Source organism: Homo sapiens, chromosome 8 (genome assembly GCF_000001405.40).
Source record: "Homo sapiens chromosome 8, GRCh38.p14 Primary Assembly".
Taxonomy (NCBI): domain Eukaryota; kingdom Metazoa; phylum Chordata; class Mammalia; order Primates; family Hominidae; genus Homo; species Homo sapiens.
The window spans coordinates 14,205,207-14,227,438 of record NC_000008.11 but is presented as its reverse complement, the minus strand read 5'-3'; the positions used below and the strand labels follow the sequence as shown (position 1 = coordinate 14,227,438).

At 36.1% G+C, this 22,232-nt stretch overlaps 1 protein-coding gene across 4 annotated transcripts in view, besides 5 other annotated features; it reads left to right on the top strand.

The window, feature by feature from the left end:
- Positions 1-22,232, top strand: part of SGCZ (sarcoglycan zeta) — a 1,153,587-nt gene that overhangs the window by 1,010,993 nt on the left and 120,362 nt on the right. The gene's annotated exons all lie outside the window — the stretch shown is intronic.
- Positions 3,519-3,688: an enhancer, noted in NCBI's record as "experimental_102034 CRE fragment used in MPRA reporter constructs". NCBI's record gives its function as "activates a minimal promoter by MPRAs in K562 erythroleukemia cells, with activity observed for the non-introgressed 8:14081345 variant allele {active_cell/tissue: K562}" and the evidence as "EXISTENCE:reporter gene assay evidence [ECO:0000049][PMID:34662402]".
- Positions 3,519-3,844: a biological region, named in NCBI's record as "Neanderthal introgressed variant-containing enhancers experimental_102032 and experimental_102034".
- Positions 3,675-3,844: an enhancer, noted in NCBI's record as "experimental_102032 CRE fragment used in MPRA reporter constructs". NCBI's record gives its function as "activates a minimal promoter by MPRAs in K562 erythroleukemia cells, with activity observed for the introgressed 8:14081189 variant allele {active_cell/tissue: K562}" and the evidence as "EXISTENCE:reporter gene assay evidence [ECO:0000049][PMID:34662402]".
- Positions 16,678-16,847: an enhancer, noted in NCBI's record as "experimental_101932 CRE fragment used in MPRA reporter constructs". NCBI's record gives its function as "activates a minimal promoter by MPRAs in K562 erythroleukemia cells, with activity observed for both the introgressed and non-introgressed 8:14068186 variant alleles {active_cell/tissue: K562}" and the evidence as "EXISTENCE:reporter gene assay evidence [ECO:0000049][PMID:34662402]".
- Positions 18,484-18,653: an enhancer, noted in NCBI's record as "experimental_101912 CRE fragment used in MPRA reporter constructs". NCBI's record gives its function as "activates a minimal promoter by MPRAs in K562 erythroleukemia cells, with activity observed for both the introgressed and non-introgressed 8:14066380 variant alleles {active_cell/tissue: K562}" and the evidence as "EXISTENCE:reporter gene assay evidence [ECO:0000049][PMID:34662402]".

Genomic DNA, 22,232 nt, shown 5'->3' with positions numbered 1-22,232 from the left:
TTATTTTGATTCTGAGGTCACATATTAGCTGTTTTGTTTTCAACATGCTCACAAACCCATCAGTCTATTGTTTAATGTCTTTCCTTCCTTTACCCTTCCCAAAGGAATTAGAACATGTTAATAATTCATAAATTTTGGAGATCACCTTTTCTCATGTCATAATTAGAATAAAGAAAACTGTTTGCATTCTTACATTTTTTTTGCCATACTTCATTTTTCTACAAAGATTATTGAACGTAATTCAGAGACCAGCCTGCCACTCCAGGGAAGCAGGCATTGCAGACTAAGAAAATGTGCTTTCTTTCCTCATATCTCTTCCAGAGGTCCTTATGATTCCACCTCCTTATTCTTCTCACTTGCGGGCTGATTGCTCACCTAACCTGTGAGCTACTAATTGAATCAGTAAATCTATCAGCTACCTAAAGCACACTAGAGTATTATAGGTAAATGTATCTGGGGAAGAAAGCCTTCAATATTACACATTAAGAAATTGACCATACCTGTTTTCACATTTCAGGCTTTGAGAAATCATAAGTCATAAGTATAGTGACTAAAATAAAAGATGCAGACAATACTGTGTTAGATTGGATACAAAGCTACTGGAACTTTTATACTCCTGCTGCTAGGAATGCAAAACATTACACCTTTCTAAAAACACAGTTTCCCTGTTCCTATCAAGTTAAACAGGCAACTACCATATGGTCCAATAATCTCACTCCTAGGTGATTGCCCAAGTTAAATAAAAACATGTTTACACCATAAAGTTTCTATAGATATTCACAGCAGCTCTATCCACAATTGCCAACAACGGGAGTCAACTCAAATATCCTTCAGCAAGAGAATGGATGAATGCACTGTGCTATGTTAACACAGTGGAATGGTATTCAACAATTTTTTAAAAAAGCTATTGACATTATGTTAGGTAAAATAAGTCAGTCTGGCAGTTTACATACTGTATGATGGCATTTATATGACGTTCTTAAAAGGACAAAACTATGGTAAAACCAGATTCATGCGTAGTTCACAGGGATGGTATGGGGGAGGGTTTAGGTACAAAGCGATAGCACAAGAGAGTTTTCTGAGGGTGATGAACCTGTCCTATATTTTGACTGTAGTAATGATTACACAGCAATCTGCATGTGTTAGGATTCACAGAAGTATACACCGAAAATTGACTCTATAGTAACTTGAAATACTTTTTAAGTTTTTCCCAAATTTACATGATGTCTGTCTTTTTTTATATATAACTTAACATTCTGAATACTAATATTTTCTTCATGCAACTATGTAAGGAAATACTGCACTTCAGGTCCAGTGGGGAATTTATCCTGTATGCCTGGGTTTTTATAACCCTGCTTGACACATGGTAGCCCCCCAAATAAGTGTGGAATAAGTGATTAGAATATCACTTATACCATCGTCCTTTTCAAAATATACCTTATGATTTCATGGATTTTGTCAAATAAATTGTGGAAACTTTTGATAAGGTCTATGATACGTGTGTAACTTTATTTCTTTCAGAGGTATCATAAAATGTATAATAAATGCTTGTCGGTCGCAAAGATTCTCATTATTGAAATAACTCAAGCCTTCTTATTGATTTAAAGCAAGTTTAGACCAGTCTCATTTCATTTTCAATCTTAAGGCTGATAAAATTATTTCCAAATAATTTCCAGTTGAGGTGGCCATCATTGCTGTTGGCTTCGTCTGTTTTTATGTCACCTATATCTGTTATCTGACTAAGTGTGTTATGTGCTCATTATACATACAATGAGCTTTTATTATACATGCTCCTTTAGCATATCACATATATGTGGATAACACCCAAATCTATCCCTCTGACTTTTTCTGTCTTTTTCTTCTAGCATAAAACCCAATGAACCAATTAGTATTATTATTTTTGGCTATGATTACACCTGACTATCATGTTGATTTCTAATTCAACATTAATCTTTTACTGGGTATTTTAAAAACACTAAGTGGTCATTTATCTCAGCCTCAATTTTTAGTATTAAAAGATAGTGGTACCTAAGTGTATTTTCAACACTAATATTTCATATTTGCTGAGAGTTTTTTTAAGTTTAACAAAACTAATCAGCTTACCTTCAAAACCCAGCTTTTCTTTTTTATATTCTCACACATAAACAGCAGATCATTTAGAATAGCCCATAACTTTTGGGGGTACAACATTAAATAGGTCACCTCTGCTATGAGTAACCTTCTTAAACCACAATAAAAATAGAAATTATCTATCATCTTCATTGGTTAAAATCACATTATCACATTGATAAGAGGAAAGAGATGAATGCAAGTAACGTAAAACTAGTACAAACTACATATACTCCATTGAATAAATTTATGATTCTTAGGAATAAGTAGCTTTAAAAGAGAATGCATTTAGAATGTAAAAAGAAGATATGTGGCAAAGCTGATTTAGTGTCAAACAGAAGTTCACAGGGTTACTGGCTGCATGTAGAAAATGATGAACACCAAATATGCCTTTGCAAAATAAACCAAAGTAATTTCTTTATGTAGAGAATATTTAGTGGCTTGAGGAAAACGTTGGTAGGGTCACAGTATAAGTAACAAGAGCAAGTAGTTTTGAAATAGAATTTGATAAGTGTTTCCAAGAAAGAATATTAGGTGGTGTTACAAGTAATTTAATGATGAATATGATCTTAAATGGACCTGCTGGCCTCCTTCCATTCTCTACTTTGCTATGCCTCTTACTCCCTGGCCATTTTATAATTTTTATGGTGACACAATAAAAGCTTTTCTGTGTCAGACCTTCCACAGATATGAACTTACTGTTTTTCTGTCTTTCTGCGTAGCCAACGTAATAAAGTAATAAATAAATATTTTAGCATAATTGAGCTTTCACATAGGGAAATATTTCCAGATGCACAAAGTTGCATAATATATACTAAATGGTGACCCTGATTTTTATCACAAAGCCAGGGCAGCGCAGCTAGAATGTTTAAAGGATTTTCCAACTCACTGCTGCATCCCTTTCACCTTCAGAGCTAGAGATATTCCCTCTATGTCTGCCCCTAGCTCACACTCACCATAGTACCTGGTACTAATCTTATCTGCTGACAAGGAGAATACTGAACCTCATTGCAATGTCACTATTGGTTCTTTTCTACCCTTGGTATTTCCATCCCCTATTAAATGAATTTCTGGATGTACTAGTGTAATGATTAATTGTATCCTTTGTCAGCAAATGTAGTTTGCATATGAAAGGCCTAGGTTCAAGTTCAGTCCATATTGTATCATTTTAAAATAAAAGTCAAACTTGTGTACATTATTTGTTTTGAAAAGTTCCTTTAAGTTTGAGCTAAGGGTACCAGAATAGTGTCAAAGATGTGCTTTATTATGTAAATTAGAAATAAACTGATGAATAGGTACAAGTTGAGGGTGTCCAGTTGACTTCTCTGTGCCTCCGTTTCTTAAACATAAAATGAACATTTTAATAATATCTATGTACTGGAGTTATGTTGATGATTGAGATGGGATAAGTGAAACTCTTTTCACATTACTGGAAAAGTGTTAACTGCTATCACTATTAGTAATACTAATATTCATTTCCTAGTGGGAGAAAAAGCAGAAGGTAGTTTTTATTCAGAGTTACCCTACTTTATTTTGGATGGTGTGAATGATTATCCAAAGTAATATTTAGTTCTAGTATCTTTAGTTTGTTAAGGGTTATCACTTGATTTATCAGAATAGGCAGGTGGTTCCGTGGGTCATGGCATTCATGAGAATGCTGCTGGGTGCTAAGCAGCATTAAATTACCTATAGCATCTGTCCCTTTAACAAATAACTGACAGGACATTGAAGTTTTATATTTATTCCCTGTTAGTTCCAACAGCTCACTAATTCTGTTAAAATATATATATATATTGGTCTAGATGTGACTGTTTTAGATGAATATAAAAATGAGTAGTAAATTGAATTCTATTAATTGAATTACTTTACATCAATATTCATTGAAAATATATATTGAAAAATAATCTGAACTCTATAGTATATGTCTTTATTTATTAAAGTTATCCGTTCTCTCTAAAATTAACTTACAAATGTAAAGCAATTCAAATGAAAATACTAGTGATGATGAAATGTTTCCAAAGTATTCTCATTAAATGAAAAAATATGAGAAAAATTTAATAGTGTGCACCAAATATCACAAGCACAATCATTAGTACAGTGTGGAATTAGTATAGGTATTGAAAATCAGTAACAATACAGTAAGGGTAAAACGTACAAAGGAACCATATATCTGTGATAATTCGATGTAAGATGAAGATGTCCTTTAAAACCTCTGTGACGGGCCGGGGGCAATGGCTCAATCATGTAATCCCAGCACTTTGGGAGGCCGAGGTAGGTGGATCATGAGATCAGAAGTTCGAGACCATCCTGGCCTACATGGTGAAACCCTGTCTCTACTAAAAATACAAAAATTAGCTGGGTGTGGTGGTACGTGCCTGTAATCTTAGCTACTGAAAAGGCTGAGACAGGAGAGTCTCTTGAACCCGGCATGTAGAGGTTACAGTGAATGGAGATCACCCACTGCACACCAGCCTGGGCGACAGAGCAAGACTCTGCCTCAAAAAAAAAAAAAAAAAAAAAAAAAAAAAAAAAAAAAATCACTGTGACTGAGAGAGGGTGGAATTAGTTATTAAATAAGTTAGGTAGGTAAAATTGGTTAATAGTTTAGAACCAAACATTAAGTCTCTTCATCTTTATACAATAAAACAGTAAATTGTCCATGGAGTAAAGTTTCATTTTTCGATTCAAAACAATAAATAATGGGAAAAAAAATCTGTTAGAAGAGTTTTCTGATCTTCGTGGGAGAATATCCTCCAGAATACATAATCTGTCAGAAGCTGCAGAAGGAAGGATTTACTGATTTATATGCATGAAAGTTAAGATTATTCTGGAGGTCAACACCCCCTAAAACAAAACTGAAGTGGCCGGGCACGGTGGCTCACGTGTGTAATCTTAGCACTTTGGGAGGCGGAGGTGGGTGGATCACAAGGTCAGGAGCTCAAGACCAGCCTGGCCAAGATAGTGAAACCCCGTTTCTACTAAAAATACAAAAATTAGTTGGGTATGGTGGTGGGTGCCTGTAGTCCCAGCTACTCGGGAGGCTGAGGCAGATAATTGCTTGAACCCGGGAGGCGGAGTTTGCAGTGAATGGAGATTGCGCCACTGCACTCCAGCCTGAGCAACAGAGCAAGACTGTGCCTCAAAAAACAAAACAAAACAAAAAAACAGCAACAACAACAACAAAAACCTGAAGTAATGTAAATAACAACTAAAGCTAAAGTACCATCTCATTGGAGATTCTAAAGAAGTCTTACAGTAGGTGGTGGCAATAGCCCTTTCAGTTTGTTGGGGGTACTTCTGTTGTTGGCATACATTTATTCCAATCTCTCCTGGGTTTGAGACCCCACTTCCACTTTTTTTTTTTCTTTTGAGACAGAGTCTCACTGTGTCACCCAGGCTGGAGTGCAGTGGCATGATCTCGGCTCACTGCAACCTCCACCTCCCGGGTTCAAGCGATTTTCCTGCCTCAGTCTCCCGAGATTACAGGCACACGCCATTACACCCAGCTGAGATTACAGGCACACGCCATCACACCCAGCTAATTTTTTATATTTTTTGTACAGATGAGGTTTCACCATGTTGGCCAGGCTGATCTTGAACTCCTGACCTCAGGTGATCTGCCTTCCTCGGTCTCCCAAAGTGCTGGGATTCCAGGCATGAGCCACCACACCCGACCCCACTTCTTATTTGAATCTAAACTATGATAACTAACTGTGGGATTAACATATACACAATTGTAATGGTAATTCAAACAATCCATGTATATAAAGCAGGATGCCTGTTATGTCGAAACTGCAATATGTAAGTTACTGCTGCTAGTATTTTTATTTCAGTGCATTGGTTCAGTATTATTTTGACTTAAGAGATATTTATGGGTGCCACCATATTTCAGGCACTGTGGTAGGAATGGATACACAACACAGCAAAAACAACAATTGCCTCTCCTGAAAATTATAGGTGTCAACCAATAATTATAAACCATGTGTGTAAATTTACATTTAAAATTTATACGTAAGGGCAAAGGAAGCTTTTAGTAATTCATAGATTGTCTTTCAACGTATGCTTTCCTTGTTCAGAGCTACCATTTTTCTAGAAGTGAACCAAATCTCCCTCTCCTGGTTTTACACACACATACACATATGCTTACACAATGACATACACACATAAGACATTGCTTATAGATTTTATGTACATTTTGAATATGTAGGAGTGATTTATATTTCCGTTTATTGGCATTTTTTTCCGTCAAGGCTCCTAGCCTCTGTATTTCATGAGTTACCTCTACTTGGGCTTCCCCATGAAATTCTATTTTTTTTTTCTATATTAGGCACACCAAATAAATACTGAAACTCTAAGTTCATGTCCAAAGACTCAGGATTGTGTTATCTTAACAATGACAACATGGTTACTTCCAACATCTACAACTTAAGATAACAAATTTTGAAATGCTATTTCCTTTTTTGCTTCCCACACCTTTAAATGGTAGAAGTGGCTACAATCTTTTTTTAAGGTCCGATTATTTTGTTTGTTTGTTTGTTTGTTTTTGGCAGAGTATCCCTCTGTCGCCCAGGCTGGAGTGCAGTGGTGTCATCTCAGCTCACTGCAAGCTCCGCCTCCCGGGTTCACGCCATTCTCCTACCTCAGCCTCCCGAGTAGCTGGGACTACAGGCAGGCACCACTACGCCCAACTGATTTTTGTATTATTTTTTTTTAGTAGAGACGGGCTTTCAACATGTTGGTCAGGCTGGGGTTTTATTATCTTATAACACATACACAGAAAAGTAAACAAATCTCAAAGGCGTCCCCTGAGGGATTTTTACAAAGTGAAGGCAGCAGTGCACCTAAGATCACGGTCAAGATCTAGAACAGCACCCCAGAAGCTCAGGACTCTACCATCTGCTTTCTCTCAGTTACTACTCTCAAAGCTAAACCATTATTTGATTTTTGAAGTGTATATAAATAAATTCACATATGATACATTATTTTGCATCTGACTTTTTTTCTCGTAATATTATGTCTCTGATACTCCACAATGATTTTGCATAGTTCATTACCATTGCGCATGGTAGTTCCATTCATAAATACACTACAATTTATCCATTCTACTCCTATTGAAGTTTTCAGTTCAGTTCAGTTGGGGCTGTAGTAGTGTCACAAAAAGCCATTCTTCTGCCTCCCTTTTGGTGTACGTTTATATGCATCTTTTTGATATATAACTAGAAATAGAAGCACCGATCTATTAGGTTGATGCAATAGTAATTGCATTTTTGGACCGTCAATGTTAAGTCACTATAACTAGGCTCAAACACATCTTTATTAATCAAAATGAGAACCATTACAATCAACACATTTTTGTCAATGAGAAATAAAGTTTGTTCATTCCTGTGAGATTAAAATCTGTGCTTAGGGATTCAAAGAACTCTTGAAAAGCATTTTCTGCATCCTACTGGTTGTAGAAACGTTTTCCCTACAAGAAATTTTCGAGGTGCTTGAAGAAGTGGTAGTCGGTTGGCAAGAGGTCAGGTGAATATGGTGAATGAGGCAAAACTTCATAGCACAATTCATTAAACTTTTTTTTTTTTTTGAGACGAAGTCTCACTCTGTCGCCAGGCTGGAGTGCAGTGGTGCGATCTCGGCTCACTGCAACCTCCAGCTCCCAAGTACAAGTGATTCTCCTGCCTCAGCTTCCCGAAAAGTTGGGACTATAGGCACGCGCCACCACGCCCAGCTAATTTTTGTATTTTTAGTAGAGACGGGGTTTCATCATGTTGGCCAGGCTGGTCTCGAACTCCTGACCTTGTGATCTGCCCGCTTCCGCTTCCCAAAGTGCTGGAATTACAGGCGTGAGCCACTGTGCCCAGTTCTCATTCAACTTTTGAAGTGCTGGTTGTCCAACGTGCAGTCGGGCATTGTCTGGATTAGAATTTGGCCCTTTCTGTTGACCAATACCGGCTGCAGGCATTGCAGTTTTTGTTGCATCTCATCAACTTGTTGAGCATACTTCTCAGATGTAGTGGTTTAAGCGGGATTGAAAAAGCCGTAGTAGATCCGACAGGCAGCAGACCATCAAACAGTGACCATGACTTTTTGTGGTGAGAGTTTGGCTTTGGGAAGTGCTTTGGAGCTTCTTCTTGGTCCATCCACTGAGCTGGTCATCACTGGTTGTCATCAAAAATCCACTTTTCTTCGCACATCACAATCCAATTGAGAAATGGCTCATTGTTGCTGCATAGAGTAAGAGGGCACTTCAAAAGAACAATTTTGTTTTTAATTTTTGCTGAGCACATGAGGCACCCACTTATCAAGCTTTTTCACCTCTCCAGTTTGGTTCAAATGCCAAACAACCATAGAACGGTCAACGTTGAGTTCTTTGGCAATTTCTCCGTGTAGCTGTAAGAGAATCAGCTTTGATGACTGCACTCAATTGGTGGTCGTAGACTTCAATGGCTGGCCTCCAAAGTCCTCATCGCCAAGGTTCTCATTGCTTTGGCAAAACTTCTTGGACCACCACAACACTGTACATTCATTAACGGTTCCTGGACCAAATGCGTTGTTGATGTTGTGAGTTGTCTCTGCTGCTTTACGACACATTTTGAACTCAAATAAGAAAATGGCCGGAGTTTGCTCTCTAACATCATTTCCATAATCTAAAATAAATATAAAATAAACAGCAAGTAACAAGTCATTAGCAAGAAAAAATAAAGTGAGAAATGCACATTAAAATGTCATTTAACATAAACACATTTAAGAATGCATTCCACTGTCACACAAAATTTAAACAATGCAAAACTGCAATTACTTTTGCATCAACCTGATATTAAGCAATTTTTCAGAAACTTTTGTCTTTACAAGATTGAGTTTTCTAATCTGGGAACAGATAATGTCCCCCCTAATTGTTTAAGTCAGTTTTTTCTTTCAGCAATAACTTAATACTTTCTGAAAAAGAACATGAACATCTTTCATTAATTTTCTTCCTAGAGTTTTTCTTATTTATGTTTTTGGAACTGGTATACCTTTTAACATTTCATTTTCTAATTGTTGCTAATACAGGAAAATGCAAAAGTGTTATATTGACTTTGTGTTAGAAATACACATACATTTTAATAATTTGTATGTTCTTTACTTTCTATGAACAAGATTATATCATCTGAAAGAAGTAATTTTATTTATATCTCTTACTATTTTAAATGCTTTGCCTTATTATACTGCCTAGGGGGACCAGTTCAAAGTTAAGTAGAGTGGTCAAGTAGATATCCTTTCTTGTTCCTAGGCTTGGGGGAAATTTTTCAATATTTTACCCTTTGGTAAAATGTTTTCTCTGTATTTTTTGCAGACTCTGTTACCAGATTGAGAACACTTCCTTCTTTTCCTATTTTGCACTTTAAAAAAATCTTTAGTTGGCCGGGCGTGGTGGCTCACACCTGTAATCCCAGCACTTTGGGAGGCTGAGGCGGGTGGATCACTTGAAGTCAGGAGTTCAAGACGAGCCTGGCCAACATGGTGAAACCTTGTCTCTACCAAAAATACAAAAAATTAGCTGGGCGTGGTGGTGTTCACCTGTAATCGCAGCTACTTTGGAGGCTGAGGCAGGAGAATTGCTTGAACGCAGGAGTGAGACGTTGCAGTGAGCCGAGATCACACCGCTGCACTCCAGCCTGGGTGACAGAGACTCTGTCTCAAAAAAAAAAAAAAAAAAAAAAACTTTAGTTGAATTTAAATGTTCTCAAGTGTTTTTGCTTCATCTCTCAAAATCATCATGTGCTTTTTTTGTTTATGAGGTGAACTCATTAGCTTTTATTCTGAAATTATTGATTCACGGGAAGTGCCATATAAGTGTGCAAAGAGGTTCCCCACACCTTTCACCCCACGTCTTACAATGTCATCTCTTATGTAACTATACCATACAATATCTATGCCAGGAGATTGACAATAGGCGTTTCTTTAGATTTAACCAGTTATACATGTATCCATTTGTATGTGTGCGTGTGGGTGTGTGTGTGTATCTATAGAGCTTTTTTTTTTTTTTTTTTTTTTGAGATGGAGTCTCACTCTGATCCCCAGGCTGGAGTGCAGTGGTGCAATCTCGGCTCACTGCAACCTCTGCCTCCCAGGTTCACGCCATTCTCCTGCCTCAGCCTCCCAAATAGCTAGGACTACAGGTGCCTGCCACCATGCCGGCTAACTTTTTGTGTGTGTGCGTATTTTTAGTATAGACAGGGTTTAACTGTGTTAGGCAGGATGGTCTCTATCCCCTGACCTCGTGATCCACCCACCTCGGCCTCCCAAAGTGCTGGGATTACAGGCGTGAGCCACCGTGCCCATCCTCTATAGAGCTTTATACAATTTCACCACATATGTGGCCTTGGGTCACTACCAATACGTCAGTATACATAACTGTTCTGCTACAGTTTCTCTTGTGCTACATCTTTTTGCTCCTACCCCCAGACTTTTCCTTGCCTTATTTTGCTGAATACAATGTTAGGACTTACATGACTCAGAGTGCTGCAAGATAACATGCTTTTCTTGTTACTGATTTTGAGAAAAGCATTTAGTCTTTCACCATTCTGATGACAGGTGTAGGTTTTTGTTTTTTTTAAGATTTCTTCTATTTCTAGTTTGCTGAGAGTTTTTATCACAAATGGGTGTTGAACATCATTAAGTATTTTTCTGGATCCGTTAATGTGATTGTATAATTTGTCTTTGTTAATTGGTTTTTGAAAGTTGAACCACCCTGGCATACCTAGAATAAATCCCGCTAAGTCATGGAGCAAGATTCTTTTGATATGTTAGATTTTGTTTCCTAATACGTTGTTGAAAACTTTTTGCATCTAAGTTCATGAGAAATGTTGGACTCTAGGAAGTTTGTTTGTGACTTGTTTTGTTTTCACTGTCTTTGTGTAGATTTGTTATCCGAGTAACGCTGGCCTCATAAGACAAATTAGGAAGTGCCTTCTCCTGTGATTCGGAGGAGACGATATAATACCATCTTGTAGGAGATCAGTCAGGGTGGTAGGAGAAAGTATAGGAAAAGGACACAAAACTTCTCGGAAGTCCAGGGGTTTGCAAATCTTCGAAAGAAAATTTGGCTGAAGGCAGCTGAATTCTCCTAAGAGCTTAGGTTAGATAACAAGGGGATGTAAAGAAACTGATCTAGATAAGTTAGTTTACTTAGGACTGGGAATCTGGCCTTTAATCATTACCTGCAAGGCTACTCTCTCAGGGGAGGGCGATCATGTTAATTTTCCACAAATGTGTTGATTCAAAGCCTTTGTCATTAAATCTGTGCTGAATAAATGCCTGGAGGGCGGGTTTGTTGAGGCTGCAGCTGCTGCCTTTTTACAGCACCCTCCTCAGGGTCTGTGAGGGGCCTGGTCCCCTAGCCCACTCTTTCACTGGGTACCTGTGTCTGAGTGCATTCCTTCATCTGTCTTTCGTCCAGTGTCTGCGGGTTGCACCCGGCACCATCTGGGCCAAGGTATTTTCTTTTTGGGATATTTTTAATTACACACTCTTATTTAAGGTTATGGGTCTTTTTCGTTTGTTTTATCTTATTTTGCTTTTGGTAATATGTAGTCTTTTGAGTTGTTTTATTTTTATATGTACAAATTTGTGAGCATACACTTATTTATGATATCTTATTATTCTAAAGATTAAACTATCTATAGTGATATGGTCTCTTTCTTTTGTGATATTGGTGATTTTGTGCCTTCTCTCTTTTTTCATCTTTGTAAATCTTGAATGGCTTAAATTTTTTTCAAACAATTAGCTTTTGTATTTATTGATTTTTCTCTATTTTTTCTGCTTTAAATTTCATTGACTTCTTTTTTTTTCTTTCTGCCTTTTGGGGGATTCTGTTTACCTTCTTTCCTACTTCCTAGAAGTAAGAACTTAGATTATTCATTTGACTACTCTCCTCTTTGCTAGGGCAAGTGGATGCTGTAAGTTTGTCTGTTATCACTGCTTTAGTGCTGATGTGATATTTTCATTTTTATTTCTTAGATTTTTAAATATGTATATATACACATATGTATGTATTTATTTAACTTTTGAGACTTCTTTGTCTATAGATAGTTTAGAAATGTATTATTTAGTTTTCAAGTGTTTGAAAATTTTCCTGCTACCTTTCTAATATTGATTTCTAGTTTGATTCAGTATAGTCAAGAAACATATTTTGTGTCTTTAAACTATTTAAACTTGTTTAGGTTCTTGTTAGGACCAGGAAGTGCTTTATTTGATGAAGGTTCTATGGTCACTTGAAAATAATGTGTGTCTGAATTTTGTTTAGTGAAGTGCTCTATATGTGCGAATGAGGTCCCATTGTTTGATAATATTCTTCAGTATTTCTCTGTCTTGCTAATTTTCTTTCCCCTAATCATCTTAATTGCTGCAAGTGTGGTATTGAAGTATCCAGCTATAATTTGTGGATTTATCCATTTTTTCTCCTCAACTCTATCATTTTTACTTCATATATTGTGAAGATTTGTTATTTGGTGCATACCTGCTTATGATTTCTATGTCATCTTAGTGGATTTCTAAAATAATTATATAATGTCCTTTTTTTTGTCCGGGTAATATTCTTTGCTTTATAATATTATCTAATACTCATAGATATTCCTGCTTTTTTTAAAAAAATTACTGTTAGCATGGTACACATTTTCCATACTTTCAATATACCTATATTGTTATGTTTGAAATTATTTTCTCATAAACAATATAGCTGAACCATTTTTAAATCCATTCTGTTAACCTCTATTTATAAATACACTTTTATTTTAAATCAGTTTTGCATTTGCAGACTTATAGTAAAACTAGTACAGAAAGTTCCAGTTTTTCCTATGATTAACATTTTATATTGGTGTGGTACATTTGTCACTATTGATGGACCAATATTGATATTAGCTTAAGATCATAGTATATTCAAATTTCCTGAGGTTTTACGTTAGTGTTCTTTTTCTGTTCCGGTATCCCATGGAAGATATCACACTACATTTAGTAGTCTTGTCTCTACTGTTCCTCTTGGTTATGATAGTTGCACAGACTTTCTTTGATTTTGATGACCTTGACAGTTTTGAGAATTACTGGTTTGTGTTTTGTAGACTGCCCTTCGATTGGGATTTGTCTGACATTTTTCTGATAATTACACTGAAGTAATGTGTTCTGGGGAGGACAGAAGTAGCACAATATTATCATCACATCATATCAAGGGCACATGCAATCAACATGAATTAATACTTGGTGGTAGCTTTGATCACCTGGTTAACGTTTGTTAGATTTCTCCACTGTAAAGTCACTCTTTTTGGCTCTCTTTAAATACTGTACTACTTGAAAAAAGTTAACATGTTGAACTTGCTATGAACATGTTGAACACGCCCTAATTAAGCAGCTGGGAGTTAAGTTTTTCCACCTTAAGGGTAAAGTAGCTACATAAATGATATTATAAAACTAGTATGTACATATATTACGTTTTTCACAACTGACATAACTTTTTTACTTCAAGTGAAGTCTTGAAACTTTGCTTTCATTTAGGTCCCATGATCTTTTACATTTCTTAAATATTTAAATATCTTCAAATATTTAAGTCTTAAGTATTTTATTCATACATATGGAGCATTATATCAAACTTGATATTTTTAAACTGACAGATATGATTTAAAAGGTTCATGAGGTCTATTATATTTGTTCTACGTTTACCATTTTTTTTTGTTTTTTGTTGTTTTATTTTCCTTTATGAAATTTAAAGCGTGCTAATAGCATAGCTTATCTGTTTGGAAAGTTTCCTTTAATTATGCTTTAAGGCGAGATCTACTGATAACATATTCTCTTATTTTTTCTTTGTATAAGAAGGTGTTTATTTTCCTTTAGTTCCTGAAGGATAGTTTTACCAAATATAGAAATTGAGGTAAATAGTTCCTTTTTTGTGTGTGCTTGGAAAATGGGCCAATTTTTTTCTGGTCTCCATGGTTTCTGATGAAAAATTGGCTGCCATACAAATTGTTGTTCCCCTAAAGGTAATGCATGCTTTTCTCTTTAATTGCTTTCAGGAATTTTTGTGTGCGTGTCTTTACTTTTCAGAAATTTAGGTATGTGTCTTCTGCATTTCCTTGAGTTTATTCTCTTTCAGCTTCTTAAATCTACAGTTTATGTCTTACCACAAGTTGGAAAGATTTTGTCTATTCTTTCCTTGAATATTTTTTATCCCCTCCTTCTTACTCCTCTCCTTCTGTAATTTTGATTACACAAATATTATATCTTTTGCTGTTGTCCCACAGTCCCTGAGAATCCATTTACTTTTTTAGTTTTCTTTTTTGTTGTACTGAGTAATCCTATTGATCTGTCTTGATGCTCATTGATTACATCTCCTGTTATTTCCATTCTACTATTAATCCCATCCAGAATCATTTTGTTTTTATTTCCATTATTATATTTTTTTAGTTTGATAAGTTTCATTTGGTATTTTTAAATAAACTCTATTTTTTGCCTAGATTTTCTATTTTAATATGTTTTAGAAAAATTTGTAGTTGCTTATTGAAACAGTTTCATTATTGCTTTTTAAAAATTCTTGTCCTTCATTCCTACATCTAATTCATCTCAATGTTGGCTTCAGTTGTTTGTCTTTTCTCTTCCAAGTTGTGATTTCCCTTCTTCTTGCTATGATGAGTAATTTTCAAATTTTAAATTGCATCTTGGACATTGTGGATATTTTCTTAAGAGACTCTTGATCCTATTGAAATCTTCTATTTTATCAGTCACGCCACCTGGTTTAGGTTTAATGTGTAGGCTATGGCCTACTTTGTGGGATGATGTTCTAACAACTTTTTGGCTTTCTGAGCTCTGGCAACTTTTTTTTTTTTTTTTTTTTTTTGTCTTTTGCATTCTTTGTTGGTTGTTCTCTTTGAAGAGGCAGGGGGATCATCTATTAAAGCTCCTGCTTGATGCCTTCTGGTGTTACGTGAGAAAACAAAAAACTTTTTTGTTTCACCCAGTATCTATGGGTAAGGCGTTGGAGATGCCGTGGCCATAGGAAAGAGAGTTGCTCCCCTGGTAGGTTTTTCACTAGCCTTTTTCTCTTGGACTTTCCACATAATCTCTGCTGGTACATCCAGCAAAGGGAGGAGCCAGTGTGGGTCACCTTCTGCTTCTTGGTGAAAGATCCTAGGAATGCTAGTTCTGGATTGCTCCTTACTACAATGTGAATGGCTGGGAGATGCCAAGCCTCAGTAATCGTCTGCTACAAGATCGAGGACTCTTGACTATCAAGAAGAAGAGAGAACTCAAAATCATACAGAATAGCAGATAGAGGAACAGTCACTATCTTAGGGATGGGACAGATCATTCAAAGAAGGGGTTCCCATTCTTCCACCTCAGGACTGAGATTCAGAACTTTCTGGGTATGGCACAGCTGTGGCTCATTGGGTGGCAGAGAAGTTGTGGTACCACTTCTGTGGTACTTTCTGGACATCTGTCCTCTTGATCTTGCAAAAAACAAATCTGATATGATTTGGATTTGTGTCCCCACCCAAATCTCATGTTGAATTGGAGAAGGGGCCTGGTGGGAGGTGATTGGATTGTGGGGCAGATTTCCCCCGGCTGTTCTTGTGATAGTGAGTGAGTTCTCACGAGATGTGATGGTTTAAAAGTGTGTAGCACTTCCCTTTTTACTCTCTCTCTCTCTCTCTCTCCTGCTTAATTGTGGTAAGACGTGCTTCCCTGCCCTTCAGCTCCTGCCATGATTTTAAGTTTCCTGAGGCCTCTCTAAAATGCTTCCTTTTAAGCCTGGGGAACTGTGAGTCAGTTAAAGCTTTTCTTCATAAATTACCCAGTCTCAGGTGTTTCTTTACAGCAGTGTGAGAACTGATTGATAACCTTTAGGTAGATACTAGAGAAATCTGTTCATAAGATGTCTCGCCTGAGGTCCTTTGCTGGGACATCATAAGTGGAGAAGTATGGACGGTGTCAGGGGAAACTGGTAGCGCCTGGGTGCTGCGGCAACCTGAAGGCAGAGAAGCTTCATGGGCTGTAGAGTTCATGAGTGGAGGAGACACCCATCTGCAGTACCCGGACACTGGGATGACTGCACAGCCCAGGAGCACAGAAAGCAGACACAGGAGTCCTGCAAGCAAAACACCTTTACTCCTGCAGTGTCCCTCCAGCGCCCTCTACTGACAAAGCATCATGCCAGCTGGCAAGGAAAAACTTTTGAAAGGGTCAGGGTCCATTTTTAGGGAGGCAGGCAAAATCATGGATTTAGAGATGAAAGACGATAAATGGATTACTAGCACATTCCCTTTGGGAAACAAGAATCTCCCAGCTATTTGTTGTTGTTGCTAATAATATAGCTTGAAGTGGGTTTCTCTCATTTCCAATGCAGAGTCTTGCCAAATGCAATCAAGAATGGTCTTTGACTGGCTTGCAAAATACTGAATACAGTAAAAGCCGTTATGATTATTGCAATGGTCTAGGCATTTAGTTATGATGCAGTTATCTAACTGGTTGCTGTAAAGAACAATCTTTGGCAAATAGTGACCACAAATAAATATTTTTTTAAATAAATTAGAAATAATTGGGCTGGGTGCAGTGGCTCACGCCTGTAATCCTAGCACTTTGGGAGGCCGAGGCAAGCGGATCACCTGAGGTCAGGATATCAAGAACAGCTTGGCCAACATGATGAAACCCCGTCTCTACTAAAAAAATACAAAAAATTTAGCAGAGAGTGGTGACGCATGCCTGTCATCCCAGCTACTCAGGAGGCTGAGGCATGAGAATCTCTTGAACCTGGGAGACAGGGGTTGTGGTGAGCCGAGATCGCACCATTGCACTCCAGTCTGGGCAACAAGAGTGAAACTCTGTTTAAAAAAAAAAAAAAGTTCAAGTTGCATAATACTATTTTAAGTGTACTAGAAAGGGAACAATTAAGGGTAATTCCAAGGGTTTGGGAAAATGGTAATGATGTTTTTAAAACAGTGTTAATAATGGCCAGGCATGGTGGCTCACCCTTGTAATCCCAGCACTTTGGGAGGCCGAGGCAGGTGGATCACTTCAGGTCAGGAGTTCGAGACCAGCCTGGCCAACATTGTAAAACCCTTTCCCTACTAAAAATGCAAAAATTAGCTAGACGGTAGTAGTGTGCACCTGTATTCCCAGCTACTTGGGAGGCTGAGGCAGGAGAATTGCTTGAGCCTGGTAGGCGGAGGTTGCTGTGAGCCAGGATCACACAACTGCGTTCCAGTCTGGGCGACAGAGTGAGACCCTGTCTCAAAGAAAGAGAAACAAACAAACAAACAAAACTTAATAGTGTAGATAACAAGTTGTATCAAACATAAGAATCTGAAGGCTTTACAGTTAGTTTGAAGACACAGCACTCATTTCACATAGAAGTAAATAAATGAGAAATGTATTTATTCAGCTCAAAATGAATTATTTTAACTAATTCATAAGATAAAATGAGCTAATTATATTTTACTTAATCATACAGGTTATATTTTACTTAATCATACAGGTTATATTTTTATGAAAATATGGAATTCAGAAATATTTAAATACCAACGTAACTTTGATCCCAGCTCTCGTTTACTTACTGCTGATAAATTTGATATATACATATCCAGTTTTTTCTATAAATATGTCACATAAATTTAAATGTAAAATAGGCATAGCTAATAAAAAGGATATTATATTGAATGTACATTTGCTGACACAACTTTTCACTTAATATAATATGAACATGTCCTATATTAAATATTCTTCGAAAACATAATTTAAATATTCCCATATATTCCATTATTTGGTTATTCTGTAAATTATTAAGCACTTCTTATGTAATAGGAAATGTACTCTTTCCACACTCCTGATCTGTAATTATCATAAGCGAAGCAGCATTGTTGTCTGGGGTATATACCCAGGGTTCCTGTCTCACACCAAGAAAATTAAGGTCAGGAAAACACACACAAGGAGTGAGTTTAGGAACAGAGTTTAACAGGCGAAAGAAAGAGAAAGCAGAACAGCTCTCTCCCTGGTGAGAGAGAGGGGCTTCTGAATAAGAATTCTGGCCCACCATGGAATACACCAGATTTTATAGGCAGGTTTGAAGAGGCTGTGTGTCTGATTTACATGGAGTCCACAGATTGGTTGGACAACATGTGACGTTTACATAACGTTCTGGGAAGGCTGTCCACCCCGCACTAATATGCAAATGGGCTTTCCACGTGGCTGGCGCCGTGTTTTCTGCTTCTTACTATATACATGGCTGGCAAAGAGATGGGAACATGGAGGCGTCATTTTGAACATGCCAAGTCCCAGGTAACCTTTTCCTATTGGCACAGCTACCAGCATTCACCCAAGAGAGCTTCCAGCTTGTTTGTCCATGTCTGCAGCTTGATTTTACAGGCTGCTTTTTGTTAGAAATGGAAATAATTTGGGGGCTACCTTTCAGTAAAAGGAAAACCTTACTGAGTACTCTCCCACCCTCGCTATCTGCCTAATTTCTTCTTAACTCCTGTAGCATAAGTAATAATGCTATGATTAGCATCTTTATACATAATACATGTTGTGAATATAAGATTATTTCCTTCAGATAAATTACCACTTAATTATTAAGTCAAGTTTTAAAAATAATTTTATGATAAAAACAAATAGCAGTATAAGTAACTGTATAATTAAGTGTTTCTAGTTGTTTTCATAATGGTAATAACCATCTTCACACCAAAAAAAAAGAAAAATGTCTGATTCTATTATAATTGCTAATATTGAGTTTGTTTCATAAACACCACTTTGACAATTTGATAGGAACATATCTTTGTGTATTTTCATGTTTCAATTGTTAATGTGGTTGACAAAATTATTTTTGATATCAGCTCTATATATTTTTCTTTTTTCCTTTTTGGTTCCTCCATACTTGCTCTAGAGAGACAACCTTCCATTTGGGATGTTTAGAATAATATTACCTTGACACAGAATCCAAAATTACTACCTTGTGAATGTCTTACGGTGTCAGATTTTTACTTCAAATCAATGCAATTAATGTTTCAACTAACTGATAAACACAGTTTCAGATGTTAATCCTGTTAATTATATGCATTGCCTTTAAATTATCTGTCATCCATTGAAGTCAGCATGGAACTTTAGCATCCAAAACTTTCAACAGAGCTGATTGGTTGAGTGGCAGACTTTCATTTTAATGGGGTTCAATAAAGGGTTTTTATTATGTTAAGCTAAACATGGTTAGTAGGAAGTACATTGAGTATAGGCATTTAAACCTTTGTAGTAAATGAAAGTTGATTGGATTTAATAACTTCATTTTCTGTTTGTAGGGAAGAAACATTAATAGTCCATCATAGTGTGTATAAAGACAGTTCAGCATTTTCTGCCTTATTTAGAGGAATGAAAATCTTCTAGGATAAGTAGTACCATGCTCATCACAACCACCAGCCAGTTTGCACTTCCAGTAGCCATATGATCAGATCTACCCCAAATCGCATATCAAGTATATTTTTCTTATGCAAAATGATATGAGCTTTGCTCAAAAGATCCCTGCCCTTCATGAGTTTATAATCTAAAGTAGGTAGTTGTAGTAGAAGGGTAGAATGAAATGTAAATATTCCTTCTTGAGGTGTTCAAACATAGGGTAACTAATTCTTTATTTGGCAATCTACACATACTTTGTCCTCTAGTTTTCATTTAACAATAGAGCACTACTACATAAACAGAAGAAACAGTATTTTAAATGTGTTCATTATAACTTAACATAGTAAACTGAAAAAAAACACACTACAAAAAAGATATTTAAGCTTTAAATATAGAAAACTAGATCAATGTTGACTAGACTAGCATTTAGAAAAATGTAAACCATAAACATAGTAGTGCAGAAAGGTTGAGTATAAATATTTCTTTTCTGAACTAAGTATTTTACAATATGTTTGCAATAAGATGGATGAGGCTAAAAACAATGAATCTTAATGCTACTCTGTCATGGCAGAATATGATAATGTTAAGTAGAACTAAAGAACTGACCATTTACTTCTAATTTATCTTATCAGTTAATAGACATTCTCAGCAAAGTTTATCAAATTGTTACATTTAAATTGAAAAAACTAGTTAAATACAAGTTGCTTAATTGGCTAATTTCTTGTTCTGTTTATAAGAATCAGACTACAAAGGTCAAGCTAGTTTAAGCAAAAAAGAATAGCCACCATCACCCTCTACCCTTTCTTGAAAAATGATTCTTTACATCGAAAGGGGTCTTATTGTTGATATTTGAAAATAGAGCACTAAATTAGCCAATTAAGCAGCTATTCACAAAATTTAAATAGTTCTCCACAAAAACGTCAGAAAATAAGATGTCAGTGACGGAACCTCAGGGGTCCATGGCTAAGTGACATAAGTCATTCTAGACATTGTGCTTGCCTTGGTGTGGGTTGAAGGCCACCAGGTCTATTCCCAGGTGTTCTCATGTGTATAAGAATCTGAGACACAAAACAAACTTAGGGAAGGGGCATACTGAATGCAACTGCCTAAAATGACAGAGATAGGGCTAGAGAGATTGCCTTATTTATAGGAATAAACTGGCATGGCCATTCCTAACAGCAGGTAATTTAGGGGGTAATACCCTTACCAGTTATAGCAGGATACAGTAGGGAGAGCAGGCCAGAGGTAACTGCTTGTTATATAAACAGAATAAATCTGTTTCTAGTGAACATCGTTCTATAAACTTACATACATCTTAGTAAAAGTCACATCATAAATTTCCAGGGCATTGCTTTCAAATCTCACTGGATGAAATTATCTCTAATAAAGCAGCAAAGCAGGATTTCAAATGTTTTATAACTCTCCTTGTTGGCAGCTTAGATTTTTCTTTGTATAAATGTGGAGATTCTGTGATTTATTTAATGTTTGAAGTGAATAGTTTTGTGTGTACTCCATTGTGTGTGCTTATTTATTATGATTTATGTTTACATTTATTTTATTCAGCAACAGGTGAAAGTACCAAATAATTGACTGGATGTATAACACATAGCCTTCACTTAAAACGTATGTTATCTTTACAACATAAGGCTTGTAATTTCTGAGTTTTCTTACACTATAATTTAAACATTACAGACTAGGTAATGATAGTATATGGCAAAGGAGTAAAAGTTGTTTTTAGATCATACTATAAGGATATGATGTTTTCTAATATTAATAACTTGACCTTATACACATACTTAGAAACATAAAAATTATTTGTACATCAAAATATATTTTTTTGCTTTGTTAAATGGTAGAGAAATGTTTAATTAGATAATCATATAATGGAAACAGCATTAAATTTCATAGCAGAGAACCGAGTTTAAATATCAATTATGTAACTTCTTTAGTTAAATCTGGTCAACTTTCTTAGCCTATATGAACTCGAATTATTTCTATGTAAAATAGAGAAAAATGCCCTATGATTCTTATGAGAAAACTTGGGTAATTTGTTTTTTATGAAAATATCTTCCTAAATTTCAAATAATATTTGATATAGACTATAAATCTCAGTGCATCAAATAGAATAATTATTTTTAAAAAGAAACTAACATTAAAGTCCAAGTTAAAATAACATAAAATTATTATGCCATTCAACCACATTAAGCTGGTGTCTACAACTAAGACTTAAAATTGGTTCAGAGCTGCCTGGAAACTTAGATGAAAAACAAAACAAAACCCCAAACAAAGGTTTGCATATTGGATTATATAGTTTGCTTTGTCAGATTGAAGAAAATATAATAGATCATTTAGGGAGAAAAGTTTCTCTTTCAGCCCTGAACTGTAGTGGGTTAATCCTTAAATAACAAACAGTGGATGACATCATCGGCAATGTTTAGACTGTGGTTTTGCAAAAATAAAAAAACTGAAACATGTATCAATTGGACATTTCTTACATAACCTCTGCATTAAAAAGCAGAATAACATTAAATTTTAACTTTCTGAAAAACATTTTAGCAGATTGCTTGGAAAATGGTCCAGGTACATTGCTTTCTGAAGATTTGACAATACACAAAAACCCTAGAGAACATTGCCTAATGACTAGTTAGCATGTTGAGGGGGAGTCTATTTCAATTGATGTCTCCAGAGAATCTTTGACAACTGTCATTTTGTACTCTGCTTAT